The sequence below is a fragment of the Homo sapiens genome, chromosome X (genome assembly GCF_000001405.40).
Source record: "Homo sapiens chromosome X, GRCh38.p14 Primary Assembly".
Classification (NCBI taxonomy): domain Eukaryota; kingdom Metazoa; phylum Chordata; class Mammalia; order Primates; family Hominidae; genus Homo; species Homo sapiens.
In genome coordinates, this window is record NC_000023.11 from 78,090,901 (window position 1) to 78,104,205 (window position 13,305).

Genomic DNA, 13,305 nt, shown 5'->3' on the forward strand with positions numbered 1-13,305 from the left:
CCACTCTCTCGGCCTTAAGGTTTCCACTGAAAAGTCTGCTGCCTGATGTATTGAAGGTCCATTTAATTTTAATTGTTTCTGTTTTCTTGCTGCTTTTAAAATTTTGTCTTTATCCTTCATCTTTGGGAGTTTGATAGTAAATGCTTTGAGGGAATCTTCTTTGAGTTAAATCTGCTTGGTATTCTATAACCTTGTTTTTGGATATTGATATATTTCTTTAGGTTTGCGAAGTTCTCTGTTATTATCCCTTTGAATAAACTTTCTACCCCTATGTCTTTCTCTACCTCTGCTTTAAGGCCAATAACTCTTAGATTTGCCCTTTTGAGGCTATTTTCTATATCCTATAGGCATGCTTTATTGTTTTTTATTATTTTTTCTTTTGTCTCCTGTGTATTTTGAAATAGCCTGTCTTCAAGATCACTAATTCTTTCTTCTGTTTGAGCAATTCTGCTATTAATGGACTCTGATGCATTCTTCAGTATGCCAATTGCATTTTTCAACTCCAGCAATTCTGCTTGATTCTTTTTAATTATTTCAATCTCTTTGTTAAATATATCTGATACAATTCTGCATTCCTTCTCTGTGTTATCTTGAATTTTTTTGAGTTTCCTCAACACAGATATTTTGAATTCTCTGTCTGAAAGATTACATATATGTTCCTCCAGGATTGATTCTTGGTGCCTTATTTAGTTCATTTGGTAAGGCTATGCTTTCCTGAATGTTGTTGTTGCTAGTAGATATTCTTTGGTGTCTGGGCATTAAGGAGTTAGGTCTTTATTGTAGTCTTCACTGTCTGGGGTTATTTGTAGCTGTCCTTCTTGGGGAGGCTTTTCAGATATTTGAAAGAACTTCAGTGTTGTGATCTAAGCTATATCTTCTTTAGGGGGCACTCCAAGCTCAGTAATGCTGTGGTTTTTGCAAACTCATAGAGGTACTGCCTTGATGGTCTTGCATAAGATCTGAGCGAATTCTCTGGATTGCCAGGCAGAGACCCTTGTTCTCTTCCCTTACTATCTCCCAAACATACTGAGTCTCTCTCTCTGTTCTGAGCCACCTAAAGCTGGGGATGGAGTGACACAAGCACCCCTGTGGCCAACACTACTTTGACTGCTTTGGGTCAGACCTGAGGTCAGCACAGCACTGCGTCTTCCCCAAGGCCTGCTGTGACCACTCCGTCGCTACTGCTTATGTCCGTCGCTACTGCTTATGTTCCCTCCAGGCCCTGGGCCTCTACAATCAGCAGGTGGCAAAGCAAGTGAGGCCTGTATTCTTTCCTTCAGGGCAGCAAGGTTCCTCAGGCCCCAGTTGGGTCTGGAAGTGCTGTCTAGGGGCCAGGGACAACAATCAAATATCTTAGATATCTACCTGTTGTTTTACTGTATTGCGGCTGAGCTGGCACTCAAACCACAAGATGCAGTCCTTTCCACTCTTCCCTCCCCTTTGCAAAGGAAGATGAGCCCCACCCAGTAGCTACTGCCACCCTAGGCCATGAGGAGTATTGTCAGGCTGTAGCCGATGTTCTCTTAAGCCCCAAGGTCTAAGTCAGCCTGTGGTGAATGCTGCCTGGCTTGGGACTGCCCAGGCTTGCCCCTTCAGGGCAGTGGTTTTCCCTCTGGGCCAGGGCATGTCCAGAAATGTCATCGAAGAGTTAAGTCCTGGAATCAGAGCCCCAAGTGCCTGCTTGGTGCTCTACTACCCCCCTGTGGCTGTTCTGGTACCTAAGCCCCCTTACTTTTCTTTCTGCTTTTCTCAAGCAGAAGGAATTTTTCCTGGTAACCACCACAGCTGGTAATGTGCTGAGTTCCATGTGAATCCAGCAAATCTCAGAGGCTCACTGAAGGCCCTTGATGTAGTACCTGGGTATTGCTGCTGGTTATTCAGGGCCCAAGGGCTCTTCAGTTAGCAAGTGATAAATGCTGCCAGGACTGGGTCGTTTCCTTCAAAGCAGTAGGTTCCCTTCTAGAAATGTCATCTGGGAGCTAGGGTCTGAAACAGAGGTCTCACAACTCAGACTGGTGCCCTATCCTGCTGTGACTGAGCTGGTTTCCTAGATGCAAGACAAAGTCCTCCCTACTCTTCCCTCTCCTCTCCTTAAGTGGAATGAAGAGGTCTCTTTTGGAGCCTCAAGCTGTGCAGCCTGGGGTTAGGGGAGGGGTGATCCCAGCACTCCCTTGGCTGCCCCAGCTGGTGTTTCGGTATGACACATCGTGCCCCCTCATTCCACTGCCTTTAGGCCTAGTTCAAGACTAGGGCTGCCTAAGAGTTGCAGTCCTTATGGCCTAGACAGTCTTTCAAGTTTGCTTGGAGACACGGAGTGCTGTAGCCCTCGGTGGCAAGGTTTGCATGCACTCAAGATGGGATCGCTGGGACTGGCAATTCCCCTCTGGCTAGGGTTGGTTTAAATGCTCGCTCTGTGGGCAGGTGTCATCTAAGTTTGATTCAGGTTTCCTTTCTACTCTAACAGGATGGTACTGAGTCCAGTGCCTCACAATTGCTGTGCTCTGCCTCCCCCACCTCCCAGAGATGCTCTCCACACCATGCTTTTGCTACCAGGGTAGGGGAGGGGTGGCGTTATAGATCCAGGACTGTTTTTCCTATCTCTTCAGTACGTCTTTCAGTAATACGAAGTTAAAACAAGGTACTAGGAGTGCTTATCTAATTTTTGGTTCTTATGAAGGTGTTGTTTTCTGTGTAGATAGTTGTTAATTTTGTGTTTTTGCAGACTGGGGGGGATGGCCCGTGGAGCTTTCTCTTCCCCCATCTTGCTCTGCCTCGACTTATCAAGAAAAGGAATGTATATTTTACAGTCATGGAGGCAAAGAAGTCCAAGATTGACAAGCTACATCTGGTGAGGGCCTTCTTGCAGGCAGGAACTCCCTGAAGAGTTCCAAGGTGGCACAGGGCAGCATGTGGCAAGGGGGCTTACTGTGCTAGCATGCTAGTTCAGGTCTCTCTTCTTTCTCTTACAAAGCCACCAGTTCCCCTCCCATGATAACTCATAACCCATTAATTTATTAATTCATGAATGGATTAATCCATTCTTGAGGGTAGAGCCTACATGATCCAATCACCTCTTAAAGGCCTCACCTCTCAATACTGCCACATTGGGGATTAAGTTTCAACATGAGTTTTGGAAGTGACGTTCAGACCACAGCAGTATGCATCTCTAAAATACAAGGACATTTCCTCACATAATCACAATACTATTATCATACCTAAATTAACAGCAATCCCTTAATATCATCTAAAACCTAGTCATATGCATACTTCCCCAATAGCCTCTAAATGTCTTTAATGCACTCAGCATGAAAACATGTACTAGAATATAAAATATTAGAGTGTGTTGCATGTAGAAAGGGTAAGCATTATTTCTTGAAAATGTGTCTGTGTGTGTGTGTGTGTGTGTGTGTGTGTGTGCTGGATTGCAAAACTAAAATGTTTTCTGTTTGTTTTTTGCTGTGGGACATGGTAAAAAAAAGTTGGAAACTTTTATGTAGATGGTGAAAGTATCTATAAAGTCAAAAACAAAAGCAAGATGTTCAATAACACTGCTTCTTGTCAACATTTTCTTGGAGGTTCCAGTCAATGTGAAAGAGAAAGAAAAATGTATAAATATTATAAAGAAAGAGACAAAACTGTCATTGTTTGCAAACAATATAATTTTCTTCTAGAAAATCTGAGAGGATACATATAGCCGAAAAGCTTTGTCTTATTGTTTTTGAAAGTAATGTTGGCCGGGCGTGGTGGCTCACACCTGTAATCCCAGTACTTTGGGAGGCCGAGGCGGGTGGATCACCTGAGGTCATGAGTTTGAAACCAGCCTGGCCAACATGGTGAAACTCTGTCTCTATTAAAAATACAAATATTAGCAGGGCATGACGGTGCATGCCAGTAATCTCAGCTACTTGGGAGGCAGAGGCAGGAGAATCACTTGAATCCGGGAGGCAAAGTTTGGAGTGAGCCGAGATCATGCCACTGCACTCCAGCCTGGGCAACAGAGCAAAACTCTGTCTGAAAAAAAAAAAATAAATAAAAAGAAAGTACTGTCAAAAATTTAATTCCCATTTGTTCAGTCATTCACATCCATATCCAAATTTTCTTCCACATGCAGTTCACAGTTATTTCTAGATTGGTGAGTGGGACAGGATTGTTTGGTTTTGATGAAACTCACAGGAAAATGAGACAGCATCGGCTGGGTGTGGTGGCTCATGCCTGTAATCCCAGCACTTTGGGAGGCTGAAGAGAGAGGGTTGCTTGCAGCCAGGAGCTCAAGATCAGCCTGGGCAATAGTGCGAGACCCCGTCTCTACAAAATTAAAAAGTTAGCTGACTGTGGTGGTGTGTGCCTATAGCCCTTGGTACTCGGGACGCTGAGGCAGGAAAATGGCTTGAGCCTGGAGGAGGGCTTGAGCCCAGGGGTTCCAGGATGCTGTGAACTATGATGATGCCACTGTACTCCAGAATGGGCAACAGGGCGAGACACTGTCTCTCCAAAGAAAACAAACAAACAAAAAAAGAAAAGAAAAGAAAATGAGATAGCATCTGTTTAGATATAATGCCCTAGCATTGTTTATGTTTTGTTGTGTGTTCTTACTGTTTTTCTGCTATACTTCTGTCCATCCTTTATTTTATTTTAGAGACAAAGTCTCACTCTTTCGTCCATGCTGGAGTGCAGTAGTGCGATCATAGCTCACTGCATCCTCAAACTCCTGGGATCAAGCAATCCTTCTGCTTCAGGTTCCTGAGTCACTGGACTACAGAAGTGCACCATCACACTCAGCCTCCATCTTTTATTTTTAACCTTTCGATTGATGTATACATACATAAAAGCAAACATATTGTAAGCTGATGAAATTCCAGAAACTGAAAACACCCATGTAATGGGCAGCCAATCAGCAAACAGAACATTGTTAGCACCCAGAAGCCTCCTTGTGTCCCTTTCAGTCATTACTTGCTCCTCAACTCCCCAAATAATTAAAATAAATTTAACAGATTTAAAGTGATGGCAACAAGAGGAATTATTATAAACAGAATCATACTCTAAGCACACTTGCTATAACGCAAAAAATCTTTTGTAATTCGAGTAAACACTTACCTCTTATCATCTGAGCTTTGATATATATTTGGTTTTGTTAAAGCAGAGCACATTTTAAAATATATTCCACAGCCAAAATGATATTTGTTTTGAATTATTTGATAGCTTGAATTATCTAACATTGCTCACCTCCATTGGTAAAAGTACTTAAATTACATATATTTAATTTATTGTCCTTTATGTTTAATGATAACATGGCTAATAGTGAGAGAAATGTGATGTGGTGGATGGTTCAGTGTATGACCACTAATTATTTTAATACTATGCATATGTGAACATTATCCTTTAGTTTGTAACCATAATAGTAGATTCTGCTGGAATTTGTGAGTATGTCTTATAACCAAAAGAGGGTCTGGCTGCTTGATGGTTGCAGTAAGAAGTTAAAATAACAGGAGCCAGGTATGATAAAAAGAGAGTGAATTTTATTATCCGTTGCCAGCGAGGGGGAAAGTGGCTGGAATCCTTTCCAAAAATTGCCAATTTCCAATTTCTGGAGAGACGGCAAGGGTTTAAGAAGAGGGGCTTGGAATGCAAGAGAGGAAGGGGGCTAGGAGGTGCCAAATGGTGTGACTTGCTCTGATGGCTTATCTTGAATTATTGTTCCATGGCACCATTGTGGACCTGACAGGTTACAAATCAATCACATTCAATCTTGCAGTCAGTCCAGAGGGAACTCCGGTCTTGAAGTAATCTTCTGCTGGGGAGAGAATCCTGGAGGTGCCTGTTTCCTGTCAGGATTCAGTCCTTGAAGCTTCTAAGGAAATATATGACCAGGTAAGTGAGCCAGTGTGAACTTAACAAGCATCCAGGTAAATAAATATGCATAAGGCATGGGAGCATAAGGTGGGAAAGGGGAGGAAGTGGAATTTTAAAGCACATCCCCAGGCTGTATTTCAAGGAAAAAGAAAACACTTCTGTAGTTTATGTCAAAGCTATGTCTTGAGACTGGGGGGAAAGAAGAAAAGAAAAAAAAAGTTTTAAAACATGGTTTGAAGCTAAGCTGCTCTATTACACACTGATATAATTTTTGCAAAGCCAGTTTCAATTCCTTCATCTTATGATTAGGCCAGTGTCTGTGCAAACTTGCCTTACTTTAAACTGTTCTTAAAATGTTTATTTTGCCCTCTCTGTTTTCATTTGTGTTAATTCCAGTCTTCGATCATGAGCTATTTGGCTACCCCACTCTCATTGGGGAATTAGGCATGTCCAGGGTTGATCCCTCGAGAAACTGCCTGACAGAAAAAATAAATTTATTTGCAGTGAGAAATATAACTGTCATGGCCAGTAGATACCAGAAAGTTGCAGTTTGCGAGGCTTATTGTGCATTAGATTCACCTGGGGGTACTTAAGAAGTTTTATAACTTCCCTTTAAGTGCATTACATTGTTGTTCCATTTGGAATTTCACAGGACATATGATTTAATAAACCTAGGTGAGGCCGGGAGCGGTGGCTGAGCGGTGGCTCAGCACTTTGGGAGGCTGAGGCGGGTGGATCACGAGGTCAGGAGTTCGAGACCAGCCTGTCCAACATGGTGATACCCTGTCTCTACTAAAAATACAAAAATTAGCTGGGCATGGTGGCAGGTGCCTGTAATCCCAGCTGCTTGGGAGGCTGAGGCAGGAGAATCGTTTGAACCCGGGAGGCGGAGGTTGCAGTGAGCCAAGATCGTGCCATTGCACTCCAGCCTAGGCAACAAGAGCAAAACACCGTCTCAAAACAAAAACAAACAAAACAAATAAATAAACAAAACACTAAACCTAGGTGGCGCTTGGACATCTGTGTGGCAAGCTACATGGAACTAGGCTGTTTTTGTAATGGCTCCTCCATGACCAGGTCTGTACCTTGTCATTTCCCAGACTCTCATGCTTCATCCCCTTCCCTAAACCCCCATTACTGTTACTCTCCCAAGCCTGCCCTCTTCTGATACTATTCATTGCACTATTCCTTTTAGCCTTTATTTCAGCATGAAAACCTAATAACTTATTGTTCACATTTCAGAACTCTAGTTAACTAGTTAATGCATAATAAGGTATTACTGGGTGGTAACTACCTAATATGATAACTCCCCAATTCACTATTTAGCCAGAGCATTCCAACCTTTTACTCAATCATTGCCTTAAAGGGTAACATTTGTATCCTTGGTAGTTCAGTGCAGAAAATCTGAGCAAGGCAGCTACTTAGCCATCATTATGAATTCTCTCTACACATCTAGCTGTCTTTGCACATGTCCCAGAGGCTAAGTGATTCAACAAAAGCTCATTGCATTTTGTGATCTCATTGTTGATGATCTCTGCCATTTTACTATGTGGTCTAAAGTGACTGCACATGAAACCATACTTGATGACAAGAAAAGGGACAGAAAGAAGTCTCATCTACCACCATAGAGAATGCTAAACCCATCAACTTCTGTATGAATTTCTACTGTTGTTTCATGGTATCTGGATTCTCTAGCCAGTTTACAGCCCAAAGACATGCCATTTTTCTTGATTTCCTTTTCTGTAGGTTCACTGGGGGCACAGTGGTATTCAGTGAGTTGTTTAAGTAGCAGCGACTACTGATAGCTTTGGCCTCTCAGAAAATCTTGGGCTTTCCTAATGTAGCTTATGGATGATCTTGTTTGTCTAACCCCGATTTCTTTTTAAGTTACTTATTTTGAATAAGTAATACATTAACATGGTTCAAAAAATAAACTAACAAGATTTACATTTAGAACCCCCATACCTACTCCTGTCCCCATCTAACTTACACTTCCTACTCCCATAAATAACAATGTTATTCATTTCTTATATATCCTTTCAGTGTTTCTTCTTCTTTTTTTTTGTAGAGACAGGGGTCTTGGTATGTTGCCCAGGGTGGTCTCGAACTCCTTGCCTCCAGCGATTATCCGGCTTTGGCCTCCTAAAGGGCTGGGATACAGTCGTGAGCCACTGTGTCCTGCCAGTGTTTCATTATGCAAACACAAGCCAAGAAGCCATATACATACAAATATATATATATATATATTTGTAGAGACAGGAGACAGGGTTTCTCTCTGCCACCCAAACCAGAGTGTAGTGGCGCCATCACAGCTTACTGCAGCCTTGATATGGAATGAGCTCCCTCATTCTTAAGCTTCATATAGTACAGTATTCTATTGTATTCATGTACCATAGTTTAACTAGTCCTTTATTGACAGACACTTGGGATTTTTCCTGTCCTTTGCTATGACAAATGAGAAAATGTACATACAGAAATACATAAAGTCCAGAGATCTATCCTTACATTAGATTCACAGAAATGGAACTGCTGGCTCAAAGGGTAAATCTATTAGATCTTTGTGTCACTCAGAGTTTGCCTGCCATATGTGTGAAGAAGAGATCAAACTTTATCTTTTCTATATAGCTATGCAGTTGTCTCAAGACCATTGATTTAAAATAAAAGTCCATTATTACCCCACTGATTTGACTCGGTACTAATTTTCTACATGCATTTGGTTCTATTTATAGACTTTCTATTCTGTCCCATTGGTCTTTCTACTCATGTTCCAGTGACTCAATGTGTGCTTTTTTCATTTTGCAAGGTTAGCTCACCATAGTTTTATTAGGGAGGGGACTGGTACTGTAACAAAGATTGTACACAAGTAGTTTAAACAAGATAGAAGTTGATTTCTCTGTCATGTTAACAGTATAGAGGTGAGTGGTCCAGGGCTGGTGAGGAAGCACTACCATCACTGAGGCCAAGGTGGCTGCCCCAGCTTCTGCCATCTCCCAGTCAGCAGAAGGCAGAAAAGGGCCTAAAGACAGCATGAACTTTCCTTTTTAGGGTCACTATGTGGAAATGGCTTATATCAGTTGCCCAGAACTTGCTCACATGGTCACTCCAAGCCACAAGGAAGATGGAGAAATGTAGTCTCTTGTTGGAGAGCCATGTGTTTGATTAAAATTTAGGAGTTCTATTAGTAAAGAAAGGGAAAATGGTCTCTGTTACAATGGTGACCTGATGGTAAAGACCCCAATGTAGAAGGTATTGGGGCATTGTAACGTAAATAATGGCATAAACTTTCCTCCAGGAATTCACAATAGAGGATTGGTGCAGAGGAGTCTAGGATTCATATAGGCTCTACCTCTTACCTTCATATTTGTGGGATTCTCTTTGATTAGAATTGTATTTACTATTTTTAGAGCTCTTGCATGCTCTTTCTCTTTTTCTGTATATGTTGCTGTATGTGTGCGTTTTTTTTTCTTTTCTCACTGCTTTACTCACATGTCCCTGGAGGTATCAATCTATTTCTGAGGCAACTATTGGGGCTTGTTAATGAATTAATTGGCAAAAAGAAGCCTCTCAGGGAACAAAAGCCCGACCCCGTTTATACCTCTGAACTTCCTATCTCCCTTCCTTTGATATCTCCCTTGAATGTGATAAAGAATAGACAATTTAAGTGGGTCTTTTATATTTACAGAAGACTACACTTATATATAAAAGGGGATCTGGGTAATAGATAACTAAACTAAAGGATAGGAAAAAGCCACAAAAAGAAAGATCCTATAGCCTTAGAGAGACCATATGATTTATCACCTAAACTGGGATACTTTAAAGAGTTTAAGGAGGCTGGGCGTGGTGGCTCATGCCTGTAGTCCTAGCTACTTGGGAGACTGAGGCAGGAGGATCCCTTGAACCCCAGAGGTTGAGCCTGATTGCAGTGAGCTGATTGCTGGACTGCACTCCAGCCTGGGAGACAGAGCGAGGTCCTGTCTTTAGAACAAGCAAACAAACAACCCTCCCCGCTCCCTCCAAAAAAAATAACCACAAGCAGATTTTTTTGGGGCATACACATATTTTGATCAGTTTCTTAGCTATATCTGTCTCTAATACCATGTTACTGGTATTTTTCTGAAAAATGTATTTTTTTTCAATATGGTCTTATTAAGTTTTTTCATAAAATTGCCTGCAATCTGTCTCCCAGTTGCATTTTATGGTTAACAAATTTAACATTACAGATATCTTCAACTGATTTTTCTCCATAGATCATGTCGACCTAAAAGGAAGAAGTGTAGGCAAAATATGGAAAGGTCATTTGGGCCATGGTTGAGAACTGCAGCCTGGGACACACTTCCAGGTTGCCTTGAAGAGTACTCTGGAGAACAATGGGGAGGTTCAAATTTTTTAAGAAAAAAGGATGAATCAGGAGTGGGGGTGATTGCAAAGTTGTTTGTCAAGAATTCTCATTGGTTTAAAGAAATAACATTGGGCTGGGTGTGGTGGCTCACACCTGTAATCCTAGCAATTTGGGAGGCCGAATCGGGCGGATCATTTGAGGTCAGGAGTTCGAGACCAGCCTGGCCAACAGGGTGAAACTACGTCTCTACTAAAAATACAAAAATTAGCTGGGCGTGGTGGCATGCACCTGTAATCCCAGCTACTCAGGAGTCTGAGGCATGAGAACTGCTTGAACCCGGGAGGCGGAGGTTGCAGTGAGCCGAGATTGTGTCCCTGCACTCCAGCCTGGGCAACAGAGTGAGACTCCGTCTCAAAAAAAAAAAAAAAAAAAAAAAGCCAACAAGGGTGTCTCTCTAGAGCAAACTAGAAAGATGGAATCTCCTATATACATCATAATCTAATCATGGGAGTTATATCTCATCACTTCTGCCACATTCTATTGGTTAGAAGCCAGTCATAGTTCCAGCTCACATTCAAGGGGAGGAAATTATAGAAAGATGTGAACACTAGAGGGCAGAGATCATGGGCACCATCTTAGAATTGGGAAATGGCTCTGAGATTGAGATTTGTGTGCAGGTGGATCACTGGGGGTTGCTTCTGGGAACAAGTCCTGTAAAGGAGTAAGGAAATCAGATTTGGATAGAAAAGGGAGAAGTCTCAATAGAGGCTTCAGCCAACCCCACAGACAGTTCTGAAGCAGAGCTGGTCCTTTAGAGACGTCCTGAAATGAAGCAAAGAAGCCAGGCCTTTGGAACGGCATTAAGCAATCACTAATGGATGCCCCTGGGAAGTCGGTATAACCTTAGGCAAGGCAGCTTCCTTCAACAGAGGGCAGTTTCTGGGGAGAAACTCAGCTGTGAGCTGTCAGCAACTAATACTCCCAGCAGCTAATAATAAGTGCCTCAGTTCTGAAAGAGGGAATCTGAGTGATATATCATCATCACACTTGGTTAACTAGAATATCTCCTCAGTCAGTATATATATTTTCCCAGCACTGTGAATAAAAGTCAGTTGAATGAGAAATTGAAAGTACCTCTGATTGGTCCCTTCCTGCAACCAATCAGGCTGGTGGCAGGCCAAGTTTTCATTTGTATAGGAGTGTAACTTTGTAACTTCACTTCAGCCTCTGATTGGTCACTTTCTGCAACCAATCAGACTGACCATGGACCACTACTTCATTTGCATGGGGTATACACCAAGTGGCTAATGGGAAACCTCTACCGGGTATTTAGACCCCAGAAAATTCTGTAACCAAGCTCTTGAGCTGCTTGCTCAGGCCTGCTCTCACCTTGTGGAGTATACTTTTGAAACCGCCTTTGCAAAAATCATAACTGAGGAAATTATGACAGTGAAAGAGATCAGACCTAACCTACCCTATCTTCCTTCTAACTTCTAAAATGTCTTTGTTCATTCCTGGGTATAGGCCAAACTAGCCTTGGGAAAGAATTTATAGTGTAAACTCTGAGACAAAATTGATAACAGCCCTTTCCCCTTCTTGCTGGGACCAGTCTGCCTTTCTTTGTAGGTGTAACAAATTAGCTACAAGATTATAAATTACAGTTTAGGGGCCATGCAGCCTCTGGCTGCAAGAATCTGAACCTCCCCAAATTGCTTCTGGGAATAACATCACCATTGCAAATCCTAAGATCAGTGCTTGAGATATTTTGCAGACCCTGCATTCTCATGCAGCAGAGGACACCACCCAGACTGATAATCTGGCTCAACTAGCTCCACGATCCCACCCAGGAAGAACTCGCAAGAACTCACTTCGACCCCGTGATTTAATCTTCATCCCGACCAACTAGCACTCCCCACTTTCCGAACCCATACCTGCCAAATTATCCTTAAAAACTCTGATTCCAGAATGCTCAGGGAGACTGATTTGAGTGATAATGAAACTCTGGTCTCCCGCACAGCGCTCAGCGTGAATTATTCTTTCGCCATTGCAATTCCCGTCTTCATAAATCAGCTCTGTCTAGGCAGCGGACAAGGTGAACCCATTGGGCGGTTACACTTTCGTTTTCAATACATCTCTGCTTTTATTGCTTCATTCTTTCTTTGCTTTGTGCATTTCGTCCAGTTCTTAGTTCAAGACGCTAAGAACTTGGACACCCTCCACGGGTAACAGGACTACAGGTGCCCGCCACCACGTCTAGCTAATTTTTTGTATTTTTAGTAGAGATGGGGTTTTGCTATGTTGCTCAGGCTGGTCTCGAACCACTGGGCTCAAGCAATCTGCCGGCCTTGGCCTCCCAAAGTGCCGGGATTAAAGGCGTGAGCCACCGCGCCTGGCCCACTAAACTTCTCTGTGCATCAGTTATTTCATTTGCCTAATGAGGATAACAGTAGTCACTACTGCGTTTTGTGAGCGTTGGTTAATATATGAAAAATGCCACGTGTTTGCCATTAGCATCAATCATGCCATAACCAGAAAAATTACATTGCATTTTTTATTTTAAAAAAGGTGGGGGCCAGAGTGGACCTGGGCCTCTTCCAACTTCTGAGAGGTCTCTATTACTAAGTAAGCCTTAAGAAGCAGAATTCCATGAAGGGAGCTAGGAAACCAGGATTTTCCAAAAGGAGGTGGCATTTGCATTGATCCTGGTAGGGCAGCCTCGAATTCCACGGGGTTGGGGTTGCGCCTTTTCCAAGGCAGCCCTGGGTTTGCGCAGGGACGCGGCTGCTCTGGGCGTGGTTCCGGGAAACGCAGCGGCGCCGACCCTGGGTCTCGCACATTCTTCACGTCCGTTCGCAGCGTCACCCGGATCTTCGCCGCTACCCTTGTGGGCCCCCCGGCGACGCTTCCTGCTCCGCCCCTAAGTCGGGAAGGTTCCTTGCGGTTCGCGGCGTGCCGGACGTGACAAACGGAAGCCGCACGTCTCACTAGTACCCTCGCAGACGGACAGCGCCAGGGAGCAATGGCAGCGCGCCGACCGCGATGGGCTGTGGCCAATAGCGGCTGCTCAGCAGGGCGCGCCGAGAGCAGCGGCCGGGAAGGGGCGGTGCGGGAGGCGG

General features: G+C 43.2%; 1 annotated feature.

Moving 5' to 3' along the window:
* Positions 13,235-13,294: a silencer, noted in NCBI's record as "silent region_20909". NCBI's record gives its function as "represses an Ori minimal core promoter by ATAC-STARR-seq in GM12878 lymphoblastoid cells {active_cell/tissue: GM12878}" and the evidence as "EXISTENCE:reporter gene assay evidence [ECO:0000049][PMID:35858748]".